The sequence below is a fragment of the Homo sapiens genome, chromosome 3 (assembly GCF_000001405.40).
Source record: "Homo sapiens chromosome 3, GRCh38.p14 Primary Assembly".
Taxonomy (NCBI): Eukaryota; Metazoa; Chordata; class Mammalia; order Primates; family Hominidae; genus Homo; species Homo sapiens.
This window is the reverse complement of record NC_000003.12, coordinates 122,397,072-122,409,738: the sequence shown is the minus strand read 5'-3', so window position 1 is coordinate 122,409,738 and position 12,667 is coordinate 122,397,072. Positions and strand designations below refer to the sequence as shown.

The 12,667-nt window shown below is 39.2% G+C and overlaps 1 protein-coding gene across 1 annotated transcript in view, besides 1 other annotated feature; it reads right to left on the bottom strand.

Moving 5' to 3' along the window:
- FAM162A (family with sequence similarity 162 member A) overlaps nt 1-12,667 on the bottom strand; it is a 28,153-nt gene that overhangs the window by 2,596 nt on the left and 12,890 nt on the right. The window contains exons 2-4 of the mRNA NM_014367.4: nt 6,857-6,979; nt 5,376-5,481; nt 2,350-2,458 (exon numbers count right to left, since the gene is read on the bottom strand). Of these exons, the coding sequence (NP_055182.3) occupies nt 2,350-2,458; nt 5,376-5,481; nt 6,857-6,979 (338 nt within the window). The remainder of the gene's footprint in view (nt 1-2,349; nt 2,459-5,375; nt 5,482-6,856; nt 6,980-12,667) is intronic.
- Nucleotides 3,230-3,279: an enhancer, noted in NCBI's record as "active region_20368". NCBI's record gives its function as "activates an Ori minimal core promoter by ATAC-STARR-seq in GM12878 lymphoblastoid cells {active_cell/tissue: GM12878}" and the evidence as "EXISTENCE:reporter gene assay evidence [ECO:0000049][PMID:35858748]".

Genomic DNA, 12,667 nt, shown 5'->3' with positions numbered 1-12,667 from the left:
CTAAAGCAAAACAGATTTGAACAGGTGATTTGTATGCTGGTCAGGGGAGGGTGTCTTTACCTTGCACTGATGACAGCAGGTTAACAGAGGCATGGAGGCATGGAGTCCTCTGCTGCTTGCACACTGAGCACGGCAGTTTCCTCTATGTGCTTCAACTTCCTCGTACGCTTCCAAGAACAGCAGCTCATCCACTCAAGCATAAGTAAGAAGTGCCACACCTCTCCTTTTTCTTCCCTTCTGGCCCCTTTCTTTCAGTCTTTATCCTCTCCTTTTCTCTTATACTTTCTTCTCATTCCACCCCACTTCTCTTTTATACTAAATACCTTCTCATTGCCATTTCTATCCCGTTTTTCTTCTTTCACTTTTCTCTGTTGCTGCCATTTCTCCTTCCCCAACTTATCTGCATACTCAGATCCTTCTAGTTCCTCACTTCTCTTTTACCAAAAACATTCAGCTTTGGGAATCCCAGACTTTACCCAAATACTACCATTGATGATTTCCACGAGTATCTGTACTACAATTCCAACCTTTGAGTGGGGGAGGCAACCGTCCTCTTCCCTTGTTTCCCTCCATGTAAACGGTCAGATTTCTATGAAGCTTACATACAGGCCAGTTTCAACACTTTTATACCAAATAGTGAAACTAGCACCCTAAGCTGATATTTCCTTCTATCTGTGTAATTTCATATGTAAAAGAATTGGGTATGTGGCGGGGGGTGGGGGAGCGGGGGGAGAAAGGGAAGTTGATGGTGAGAGCAAAATATACAATGGCTAATTTTTCTCTTCCAAATCACATTGAGTTCAAAAGTTCTCCATTCCAGTAGTATTTATGGAAACAGAAATTCCATAAAACTAAAATGTTACAATTTTATGGTAAAGAACAGGAGAAGAACTCTCTAAAATACACAGCATATACCCCTGGATGATGCTAGAAGAGATTCCAGGTGAATAATTTGCTTCTGGAGTATTTAAACTCAGCTAGTACAATCGAGTATACAAAAGCAATGCAAATTTCTCAGAATCCTAGAAGCTCACAGTCCTGTCCACATGTTTCTGCTGGTTTTAATCTGAGAACTATGCATGAGAGGTCAAAGAGGGAGACAAGAAAAAATGAAGTGGGGTGGGAACAGAGTTTTCAAGAGAACTTCACCCAGCTCAGCACATTTGCCCCTTCGTACTCCCATGAGGTCAGCCTAAAATGGTCAGTATTTCCATTTAACTGCAAGAATGAAGACAGCCAAAAGTACATTTCCTTTTACTCTGGAATTACTGAGGATAAGAAAGTCAGTTAAGAGTGCGTGTATAGAAGGACCTTTTTAGTATCTTAAAGTAGTTGTAAGACATCACTTTCCACATGGAAGCTGTGATATATAGAATTATACATGGTATTAAAAGAAGAATTTGACCAAAGCTGCTGAATATAAAAATAACTATGGCTTAATAGCAAGATAGTATAGTATGAGGTTTGGTAACCTGCAAACTTGGGTCTAGATTTTTATCTTGCCACTTGTTAGCTGTGTGAGTTTGGGAAAACTATTTACCTCTTAGGGTTATGGGGGTGATTAAGTGAGCTTAACAGTGCCTGTTACATAATAAGCACTCAATAAATGGGAGGAATTTTCCTATTACCTGAATTGGGTCTAGGTTCACACTGTGGCTCGTCATTAAGGAGATATGTGGCCTTGGGCAAGTTACTAAAGCTTTCTAAGCTATAGTTTTCCTCATCTATAAATCAGGTCCTAATAATACTTATCTTACAGTGTTTTTGTGAGGTTCAGATGAGATACCAGCTAGAAAAGTACCTGGAATGCAGTGAGTGTTCAATTAGTGATAGCTATTAATTATAATCTGTGCTAAAGATTTCTGGACTTGTATTCCTATGTACTGCTTAGGAGCTGTGGTCCTTAGACACATGGCCCTGTCTGGCTGAGCTTCAAATAAAGAACCCCGCTAAGAAAGCTCACCATGCTGAAGGCAGTTATGGTGAGGGTAAATACACTTGGGTACCAAGAGCACTCTGGAAATATGCAGTGGGTGATTAAATATGCCAGTGTCCTATTTCTTAATTTACATTATGACACCTGTCATCAGAAACACTTTTTAAATTTACATTACACAAAATGAATCTAGTCCTTCTTCACCACGCCAAAGTTAGGATTTGCTATCTATCCCCAAGGATGATATTCCAGGCTTGTTCCCAATATGTCTTATTTTTTTGCTTATCTTTTCTCATGTAATGTAGAAAGTAGCCTCCTCTTCTCAGAGGGTAAATACAAGGGTCAATCCCTGATTTACTCTAGGTTCTTGGTGGAGAACATACATACTGGATAGAGAAGAAACCCCTTCTCACCTTCTTGCCCTCAATAACCATGAAGATGCATCCTACCACCGTCAGGGCAATCATTAGATAGCTGATCTTCACTCGCATCTTGTTCTTTGCAGCATCAAGCATCTCCAACCTAGTAATACAATGAGATCATGAGAGAAAGTTATTAACTTTTCCCTTTCTGAAGTTGCTCAGGATAAAAGGCTGTGTATAAATTCAAAATGTAGTAGTGTCTATAAATATAAATAGGGAGACCTAGAGATCTCTTTAAAAAGGGCCTAGAGATCTCATAGGACTTTGGGGAGGATGAGGCATTTTTCGTAACTCATTTATGTATAAAATACAGGATAGCACACAATTAAGTACAAAAGAAGAAAACAAAAAGAGAAGTCAAGAACAAAGCCAAAAAAAAAAAATGGGCAAGGCATATTAATCTACACTTGCTATGGTGGACCCCAATTTTGGCTCTCAGGTTTCCAAGCAGCCTATAAATGCTAGAAGTGAAACAGTCATTTCTCCCTGAGGTTCTTAAGAAGACATTATGTGATGTAGTCATCGTCTGAAAACATCTCGACAACAGATACTACAATAAGCTTCATATGTTTCAACACAAAGCACAATTCAGAATGATCAAACATTGGAGAAAGTTAACCAATGTGCTCCATATACCCAGCTTTTTGCTCTCTGTCTTGAACCCAGAATAGATTTGAGAATATCTAAAATAGTAGGAAGATCCTTTAAGCAATGCTCCTCAATATTTATCTTTTTAAACAAATGTTTTGCTAAAATTGAGTGACAGTGAACTTGATATTGTGGTCTTTGGCAAGTGCCAAAGTGCAGCTCTTCTAACCTATCTACTGAATACAGACCCATGTGCCTTAAAAAAAAGTTGATGGTTGGTTCATCATTCTTGTGTGAAACCTAAGAGGCTTAATATAGAAGAGTCTAAAGGCCAATCTACCTTGGTGATTTTGCAAGTAGGCAGTGAGTCATGGTTCTATTTTTAATTTACTTTATTTAAAGAGATGGGGTCTCACCATGTTGCTGACTCAAAATCTTAGACTGAAGCGATCCTCCTGCCTCAGCCTCCTGAGCAGCCGGGGCTATAGGCATGCATTGCCACACCTGGTGGTCACGATTCTGTTACCTCGGTGTCTGGCAGAACCTCAAGGCAGGGGATGTGGAGCCCTTATGGGGCCCAGGATTAACTTATGGCCTTCTCAGTAGATGTGTAAATAGGAAGTGATTATCTCTAGATGATGGGATTGAAGTGCTTTCTTTCCCCTGAGATATTTAACATATATTACTTTTAAAATTGGGGAGGGGAGTACTTTAAAAATGCTTGGAAGGAGGCAAAGAGTCTGGGATGTTGCAGGTGGAAGGAGGAAGATGATGAAGCCATGTACAATGTGATGTAGGAGCTGGGACCTGTGAGGCAGCATGTGGACGGGGTTCTCCAGGCACTTAAGCTGGGCCTGCAGGCTGGCAGGAACCCAAGACAACTGCTAAGGACTGTCAAATTGGTCAGTTAGGAGCACCTGAGATTCCACTAACCACAAACTGACTTCCCATGTTGACGGTATTTTATGGGATTTGAAGTGCCATGATCCTCATGAAAAGTAATCCATTCCATAGGGAGTAATAGGAATGGGCAAGTTAAGCAGTGCCTGTTCAGAACTACCAGCACAAGGACAAATGGCTGCCCAGGCCCAGAAAAGACCCTTCCAGAGTGATTCGTGAGGTAGTATTTTGGGCCTGAGGGGATCTTGGAACCAACTATTAGGCAGACTGAGGAAGGTGTTCTATAGCAAAGCCTATACAGCATCTGTTAAGGCCATGGGTGTCTACCAGCTTATTTTCTGCTGGTATAGGAAGAATTAGGGCATAGGCAAGAACCTGATGTCACTGTTATTTCCAGTATTCTCTTATTTCCCAGAAGAATACATGACTTGAGCTAAGAAAAACCAGGGCTTTCCTGCTGAAATAATTCTAGTTAAAGTAATGTGCTATCAATTTGACTGGCAGAAGCAGAAAAGCTCTATTAAAGCTGTTGTAAACAGAAAGTAAATACTACATATTTCCCTGGGAAAGAAATCCTGAATGAGCTCAGATCTTTTTCAATCATGACTTGAAACCAGAGACCAGAAGATCCAGGAATAGTTTCTTGCTGACAGGGAACTTCCACGAGCTTTGTCTGAAGTCCCTGTCCCTGAATAGGATGATGCCTCACAGAGGAGATGACATCTATTTCTCAGAATCTCTTTTTAGCCAAGATGCCAGCCAGTCAGGGTCTTTAACATGAGGCTAGGGCACTGGTTCTCAACCAGGGGAGATTCCCACCCCGCTCGTGCCCCTTGGACATTTGGCAGTGTCTGGAGACATTTCTGGTTGTCAGCACTGCCGCAATGCTACGGGCATGTAGGGGGCAGAAGCCGGGGATGCTGCCAAACATCTTCCAACAAATAGGACACCCCCCTGCCACAAAGCATTATCAAGCCCCAAATATCAATAGTACTGAGTTGAGAAACTGGGTTGGAGGAACCTGCACTCATCATCTACAAACTCTGAAAAAGTTCCATGATCCCAGCCAAGATCCCTTCCCTTAGGTTTAAGGAAGTTGGTGACAGGAAGCACTCTTTCCTGAATTCCAGAATATTGCAATTAAATACTTTTACACCTAAGGTTGAGTACTTAAGTGGATTTGGGGGAATACAGTCATTGTCAATGGTACTTAATTTATATACCTAGATTAAAAACAAACTTTAAAAAAGTCACACTTCTGTAGCCAGGGGATGAAATCAAATAATCAATTGACTTCAGAGTACCTGACAGTTCTTCACCAGTCACTGTGTAACTTAACAATGATAAGACACAGGTTTTCTAGCATTGTTTATATTCCAAGTACTTACCAAAGATAAAACATTTGGAAAAGTGAAAAATGTTTTCAAATTTGGTTGAAAAGTTTTAAACAGTTGGAACTCAGAGGCATTGCTTTTCCCTTAGATCAGTGAGAAATGAAAGCTGCTTGTAATACTAAATTCAGCACTCACGAGACAGTCTCTGGGATTTCATCTTCCTTTTTGAAGCGACCTGACCATATGAGGATCTTTTTCTGCCAATCCGTAGGTTTGTGTAAAGGCACTCTGTTGTAAGTGCCTATGAGAAAAACCAGACAAGAAATTTTATGTGTTTGAGATTATAACTCTCAAATTTAACAACAGAAAAATGGTATTAGTGCTTTTTAACTAGTCACTAAACAGAAACACTGAGAAACCTCAAGTTAATTAGAACTTTATTTGAATGGAATTTCTTAGGATGCTTCATTTTCCAAATAAGATTATAAAATCCCAAGGAAACGGTGAGGAGCTTGTCTGACTTCAGCAGACTAAGAAAAAGTTTGTAAGGTACAATCAGATTTTACCAGATCTTGAATGTCAGGCTAAGGGGTTTAGACTTGATTGGGAACTACTGTACATTTTGAAACAAGGAAGAAACTAATGTTTTAGGAAGGCTTATTATCTGTACAATGGATGGAGACAGAAAAGGGGGACACGGTAGAGTGGGCAAAAAGTCCAAATGGGAGCCTGTAATACCATGGTGAGCGGATATTCTCTGAACCAGAGTTGTCGCAGTGGAAAGAGAGATGAGGTCAGTCTGAGGATGACTGAAAGAATGTGGAGACTGGTTAAGACAAAGAGGAAGGAGTCACGAAGAACCTCAAACTTGGATGACTAAGACAACAGCAGTATTGTAACTAAAAGAAGACGGGAAAAGACCCAGTTGGGGAAGGAAAGAGCATGAATACTACTTAAAGATTTGCTGACTCTGAAGGGAATATATGCCATCTGAGTCATTTCATTAATAAGTCGGGAATAGAGATAAAAATCAGTGCAAAGGGAGAGCCAGTGAGGGTGATAAGGAGAAGGCCCTGCTTATATTTTACCTAACGCATAATATCTTAATTTGGTTCATCTTTAGAGTTCTTTAAAACATAATTTCTGGACTACTATTTACTTTGGTGCATCCATTCTCCTACAGAAAGCTCCAGTCCAACCCTACAGGCAAGAAGATGAAAATGACAAATGCTGAAAATGAAGAAACCACTGTGCATGTGCCCATGACCAATATTAATACAACATGGGAGGTCTGCTGTAGGAACATGGGCCTACGTATGAGTAAAACATGAGAAGTGTGACGTAGGAAGATGGGCCTGCATATGAGTAAAACATGGGAGGTATGATGTAGGAACATGGGCCTACGTATGAGTAAAACATGAGAAGTGTGATGTAGGAAGATGGGCCTGCATATGAGTAAAACATGGGAGGTATGATGTAGGAACATGGGCCTCCCTCAGGCCTCCCATGTTGTGCTCATATTGGTCATGTGCACATGCACAATGTGAACACAATGTGTTCTCTCTACATGGGAGGGTATGATATAGGAACCTCTTCTCTTTTGGGTTCTTTTGATTCCAAGTTTTCCTACTCTTTGGGAGCTACCAACTCCATAAATAGAAAAAATAAAAACTTACGGGATGGAGCTCCGGGACTTTCCTGTGGTTTTGTGCAAAATCCATTTATTCTCTTCAAATCAGAGCTTCTGGTAAGCCTTAGAGATGAGGAAACATCTCTTTCACATAACCTAAAACAGCTTCCTAAAAAAGAGAGGAAAATGTTTCAAAGAAAGAAAGAAAGAAAATGTGATGTTTTCTCAAAATAAGAAATACCCGCAAGTTACGTTTCATTTATAAAAGGTAGTTCATTTAGGAAATGAATTTACTATATGTAAGATACACATAGTATATTTAAAGTGCTATGCTTGATGCTGTTTTAAAATATAAATGTTTTATTGATTAGGAAATTAGGAATTTACAACATAAAAATGTTATCAGCTGTAAATTTTAAATAAGTACTTCCCACATGTGTCTTATCATAACAATGGCTCTGGTGGCAATATTATGTATTATGGCATCAGGGCTGTTTAAGTAAAGATTAGTAACCTCCCAAAAGTGATAAACTAGGTAACCAAGTTGCCAATACGATGCTGATAAACTGGTTAGGGGGCTGCAGTGGTCAGCAAGTGACTCTAGAAAGCCTTGCTCCTTGCAAGCCACAAGTCCTTAATTAGAAATCAATTTTAGATGTAGTTTTGAACTACATATAACTTTAAAACTATATATATAATATATATAGTTTATTTTAAAAATTTAAACTCAAAGCACAGATAGTAGCATTACGAACCCCTATATACTCATCACCCATTTTCAACAATGATCGCTATATGGCTAATAAATACCATTTAACCTCTATAAAAACCCTGGAAGACAACCTAGGCAATACCATTCTGGACATAGGAATGGGCAAAGATTTCATGATGAAGATGCCAAAAGCAACTGCAACAAAAGCAAAAATGGACAAATGGGATCTAATAAATTTAACTTTTACTGTGCAGAAACTAAACAGGTTCTGCACAGCAAAAGAAACTATCAACAAACAGACAACTTATAGAATGAGACAAAATTTTTGCAAACTATGCATCTGACAAAGGTCTATATCCAGCTCTATAAGGAACTTAAACAAATTATCAAGAAAAAAAACACCAGCCCATTAAAAGGTGGGCAAAGGACGTGAGCAGACACTTTTCAAAAGAAGACATACGTGCAGCCAACAGGCATACAGAAGAAAAAGTAACATCACTGATCACTAGAGAAATGCACATCAAAACCACAATGCAATACCATCTCACAACCAGCCAGAATGGCTATTTTTTTTTTTTAGATATATACTATTTTAATCAGACTATACTTCCAACATTTCACAGATGAAATTATAATCACCTGAGCTTTTAAAAAATAAAAATTAGGCACAAATACACTTACTCATAATTGCACTGGCAAACAGTTCTTATAAGATACTTAAATCTTTGCGAAGAGATAGCCCCCTTCTTTTCCCACGTGCTCTCAAGTCAAGCCTGATCTCTCTCCCTGTCACCCATAAAATCTCACTTATGTTCCATTAACCAGGATCACATGAACCAACCTGAAAGAAAAGGAGTTCTCTGTCTATATAATCATGTTGGCAAAATAAATCGACATATGTTTAACAAAAGCACACAAAATAAGAGATACAATCAGGTGAATATTATAAGTCATTCTTTCATCATTAACATAAAATTGTAATTCTACTTTTGTAAATTTTATCAACAGACTCTCAAATGCCACACTTGATATATACATATAATAATAAGAAAAAATAAATGAAAAATGCATTTTCAGATATATTAAAGAAAATCACTGTTTTATGAAAAATAAGCAAAGCAGCATTACAGTTATTACTCAACTTTCAAAAGGTTACACAAGACTCTTGCTGGCAAATATTAGGATAAGACATTTTCATAGAAATATCTTAAGTATATATGGAAAACAAAACATATTTAAGATATTAAGATATAAGATGTATTTATGATTTAAAATAATCTCTACACAATTATTCTGCACATCACGAGAATATTCAAGACTCTATTGACTTTCTCCCCAATGAACATCTCTATATAGTAACGATATTCTCAGTCTTTTTTTTTTTGTTTTGAGATGGAGTTTCGCTCTTGGTGCCCAGGCTGGAGTGCAGTGGCGCGATCTCGGCTCACCGCAACCTCTGTCTCCCAGGTTCAAGTGATTCTCCTGCCTCAGCCTCCCACGTAGCTGGGAATACAGGCGCCTGCCACCATGCCCAGCTAATTTTTTTGTATTTTTAGTATAGACGGGGTTTCTCCATGTTGGTCAGGCTAGTCTCAAACTCCTGACCTTAGGTGATCCGCCTGCCTCGGCCTCCCAAAGTGCTGGGATTACAGGTGTGAGCCACCATGCCCGGCCATTCTCAGTCTTTTTCATTTATCTATTTATTTAAGTTCTAGGATACATGTGCAGAACATGCAGGTTTGTTACATAGGTATACACATGCTATGGTGGTTTGCTGCACCCATCAACTCGTCATCTACATTAGCTATTTCTCCCAGTGCTATCCCTCCCCTAAACCCCCACCCCCTGACAGGCCCTGGTGCATGATGTTCCGCTCCCTGTGTCCATGTGTTCTCATTGTTTAGCTCCCACTTAAGAGTGAGAACATGCAGTGTTTGGTTTTCTGTTCCTGTGTTAGTTTGCTGAGAATGATGGTTTCCAGCTTCATCCATGTCCCTGCAAGGGACATGAACTCATCCTTTTTATGGCTGCATAGTATTCCATGGTTATATGGGCTACATTTTCTTTATCCACTCTATCGCTGATGGGCATTTGGGTTGGTTCCAAGCCTTTGCTATTTAGTTTTGCTCTTGTTGCCCAGGCTGGAGTGCAATGGTGTGGTCTCAGCTCACTGCAACCTCCACCTCCCAGGTACAAGCGATTCTCCTGCTTCAGCCTTCCGAGTAGCTGGGATTACAGGCGTCTGCCACCACACCCGCCTAATTTCTGTATTTTTAGTAGAGACGGGGTTTTACCATGTTGGCCAGGCTGGTCTTGAACTCCTGACCTCAGGTGATCCGACTGCCTCAGCCTCCCAAAGTGCTGGGATTACAGGCATGAGCCACCGTGCCTGGCCAGAATGGCTATTAAAAAGTCAAAAAATAAGGGATGCTGTGGTGAGGTTTCAGAGAAAAAGGAACACTTAGATGCTGTTGATGGGAGTATAAATTAGTTCAACCATTGTGGAAAGAAGTATGGCGATTCCTCAAAGACCTAAAAACAGAACTACCATTAGACCCAGCAATGCCATTACTGGGTATATCTCCAAAGGAATATAAATGTTCTATCATGAAGACACATGAATGTGTATGTTCACTGCAGCACTATTCACAACAGTAAAGACATGAATCAACCTAAATGTCCATCAATGGCAGACTGGATAAAGAAAATGTGGTCTTTTCTTTAGGCTGGGCCCAGTGGTGCATGCCTGTAATCCCAGCTACTTGGGTAGCTGAGGCATGAGAATTGCTCACTTGAACCCCGGAGCCGAAGGTCGCAGTGAGCCTAGATCATGACAGTGCACTCCAACCTGGGCAAGAGTGAGACTGTGTCTCAAAAAATAAATAAATAAAATAAGAAAATGTGGTACATATACACCATGGAATACTACACGGCCATAAAAAAAGAATGAGAGCATGTCCTCTGTAGGAACACTGATGGAGCTGGAGGTCATTCATTATCCTTAGCAAACTAACACAGGAACAGAAAACCAAATACTGCATGTTCTCATTAATAAGTGGGAGCTAAATAATGAGAACACATGGACAAACAGAAGGGAACAACAAACATTGGGGCCTACCTGAGGGTTGTGGGTGGTAGGGAGGAGAGGATCAGAAAAGATAACTAATGGGTGCTAGGCTTAGTGCCTGGGTGACAAAATAAACTGTACAGCAAACCTCTGTGACATAAGTTTACCTATATAACAAACCTGCACATGTAGCCCTGAACTTAAAAAATTTTAAAAATATCGTTTAACCTAAACTCCATCTACTATCTACCCCTTACTAGATTGTTTTAAAGCAAATCCCAAATATTATATTAGTTCATCCACAAATACTTCAGTATGTATTTCAAAATCATATCTGAAATACTAATATAATTTTTAAATGTTCCTTATTATCAGTATATTATGATCAAATCCTATTAAGATGAAATTTCTGATAGGCTCATTTTTTTTTGCAGTTGGCTTATTCAAAATAGGTGCACAAACTGAATATGGCTGATGCTTCCTGAGTTTCTTTAAATCTATAGGTCTCCCCTCTTACTTTTTAAAATAATTTATTTGTTAAAGAAACCAGTCTTTAGTCCTATAGTGTCCCTCAATTTTAGATTTTGCTTATCACACCCCCATGGTGTTGCCCAACATATTCTCCAAACTCCTCTATTCCTTGTAAACAGATTTTTGAGGCTTGAAAGATTTAGATTAGATCTTTTAGCAAGAATGTCATAGGTGGTATTGTGTCTGTCTTATTATGCCACATCAATAGGCATATGCCAATTTTGTCTCTTTTCATATTAAGATTGTTCAGTACATGCTATCAGTCTGATTCACCTTTTAGAAAGTTCCCCATCAACCTTTCATCTATCTTTTTTTTTTAGCAGACAATGGTGATTATTACCTAGATCCATTCATTTCATTAGGGATTGCAAAATGGTGGTATTCTCCCCCTTCACATTAACTATTTGGTTATCTTAAGGCATAAACCGTGCAGAAAATGTGGAATAAATGCTGGATTCTTTCCCTTTATTTGCCAGTTTTAAAATGAACAAATTGGTTTTCTTGCACTTCCTTACGTTGCATTTTTACACATGTGATGTGCTCTAGACTGTTTCAGTTGTTCCTTTTAATCCCATTGGGAACCCTTCTAAGTTGGCTCCCGAGTCCTTTCAACACATCATCAGTGGTCATTGATAGCTTTCTTTCTGACAAGATATTCCAGACTGATTTTAAATGTTTTCTGCCCGAGTTGGAATCACACATTCCTCCCAATGGGCTCTGGTTCTTTTAAAGAAATGTTTTTAGAGACTCCTTAGTGGGGGCTCATTTTTTTTCAGTTTGTCACTGTTTTTGCCTTTTCAGTGAACAAAGCTAGGAAATACCTTCATAAAATAAATACATTTAAGACATTAGTTTTGATTAGCAATTGTTACCTTCAGCTTTAGCATGAATAATTTTAATTAATTAAAATCAGAAGCAGAGACAACCAGAAATAGTTTTGATCAGGTGGGAGAAAAGGAGAGTAATTCTGATCTTGGGATTGTGGTGCAGATGAGGCCAGGTCTGGTACAGGCTCCTGAGAATCAGAAGACACCTAAGAGCCCCTGAGTCCCTAGGATGTGGAGCAGTGGAACAGAAATGAAAGCTGGAAAGGCACCAGAGATAAATCTGACTAGGGCTTTGCCACTATATGATGCTCTAGATGACAGAAATGGAATGTCCAAGACTTGTATTGAATGCAGTAAGAGTGTGCCCTCAGACCTTTGTGGTTAAAAATGAATTTGCTAATAGATAAAAAGACTGTGCCTTGGAAGTTCCAAACTCCCACTTGGGTGTCTTGCAGCCTCAGAGTTTGGAGCAGTAAGGGGAGGTGAGAGAGGGAGTAGGAGTAAAATATGGTTACAGAGGCGGTTTTCCCAATGATGGTGAAAAGCATCATTTCCTTACTTTTCCCCCCTTGCTGTTAAAAAAAAAAATCTTTTGAACATAACAATTTAAAAGACACTACTGTGGATTTCTCATGAAAATATGTTCATGGTTGTTAAGATTTTTAAAATAATACTTTTATTGATACATAATTCCCTACCATAAAACTCACTTTTAAAGTG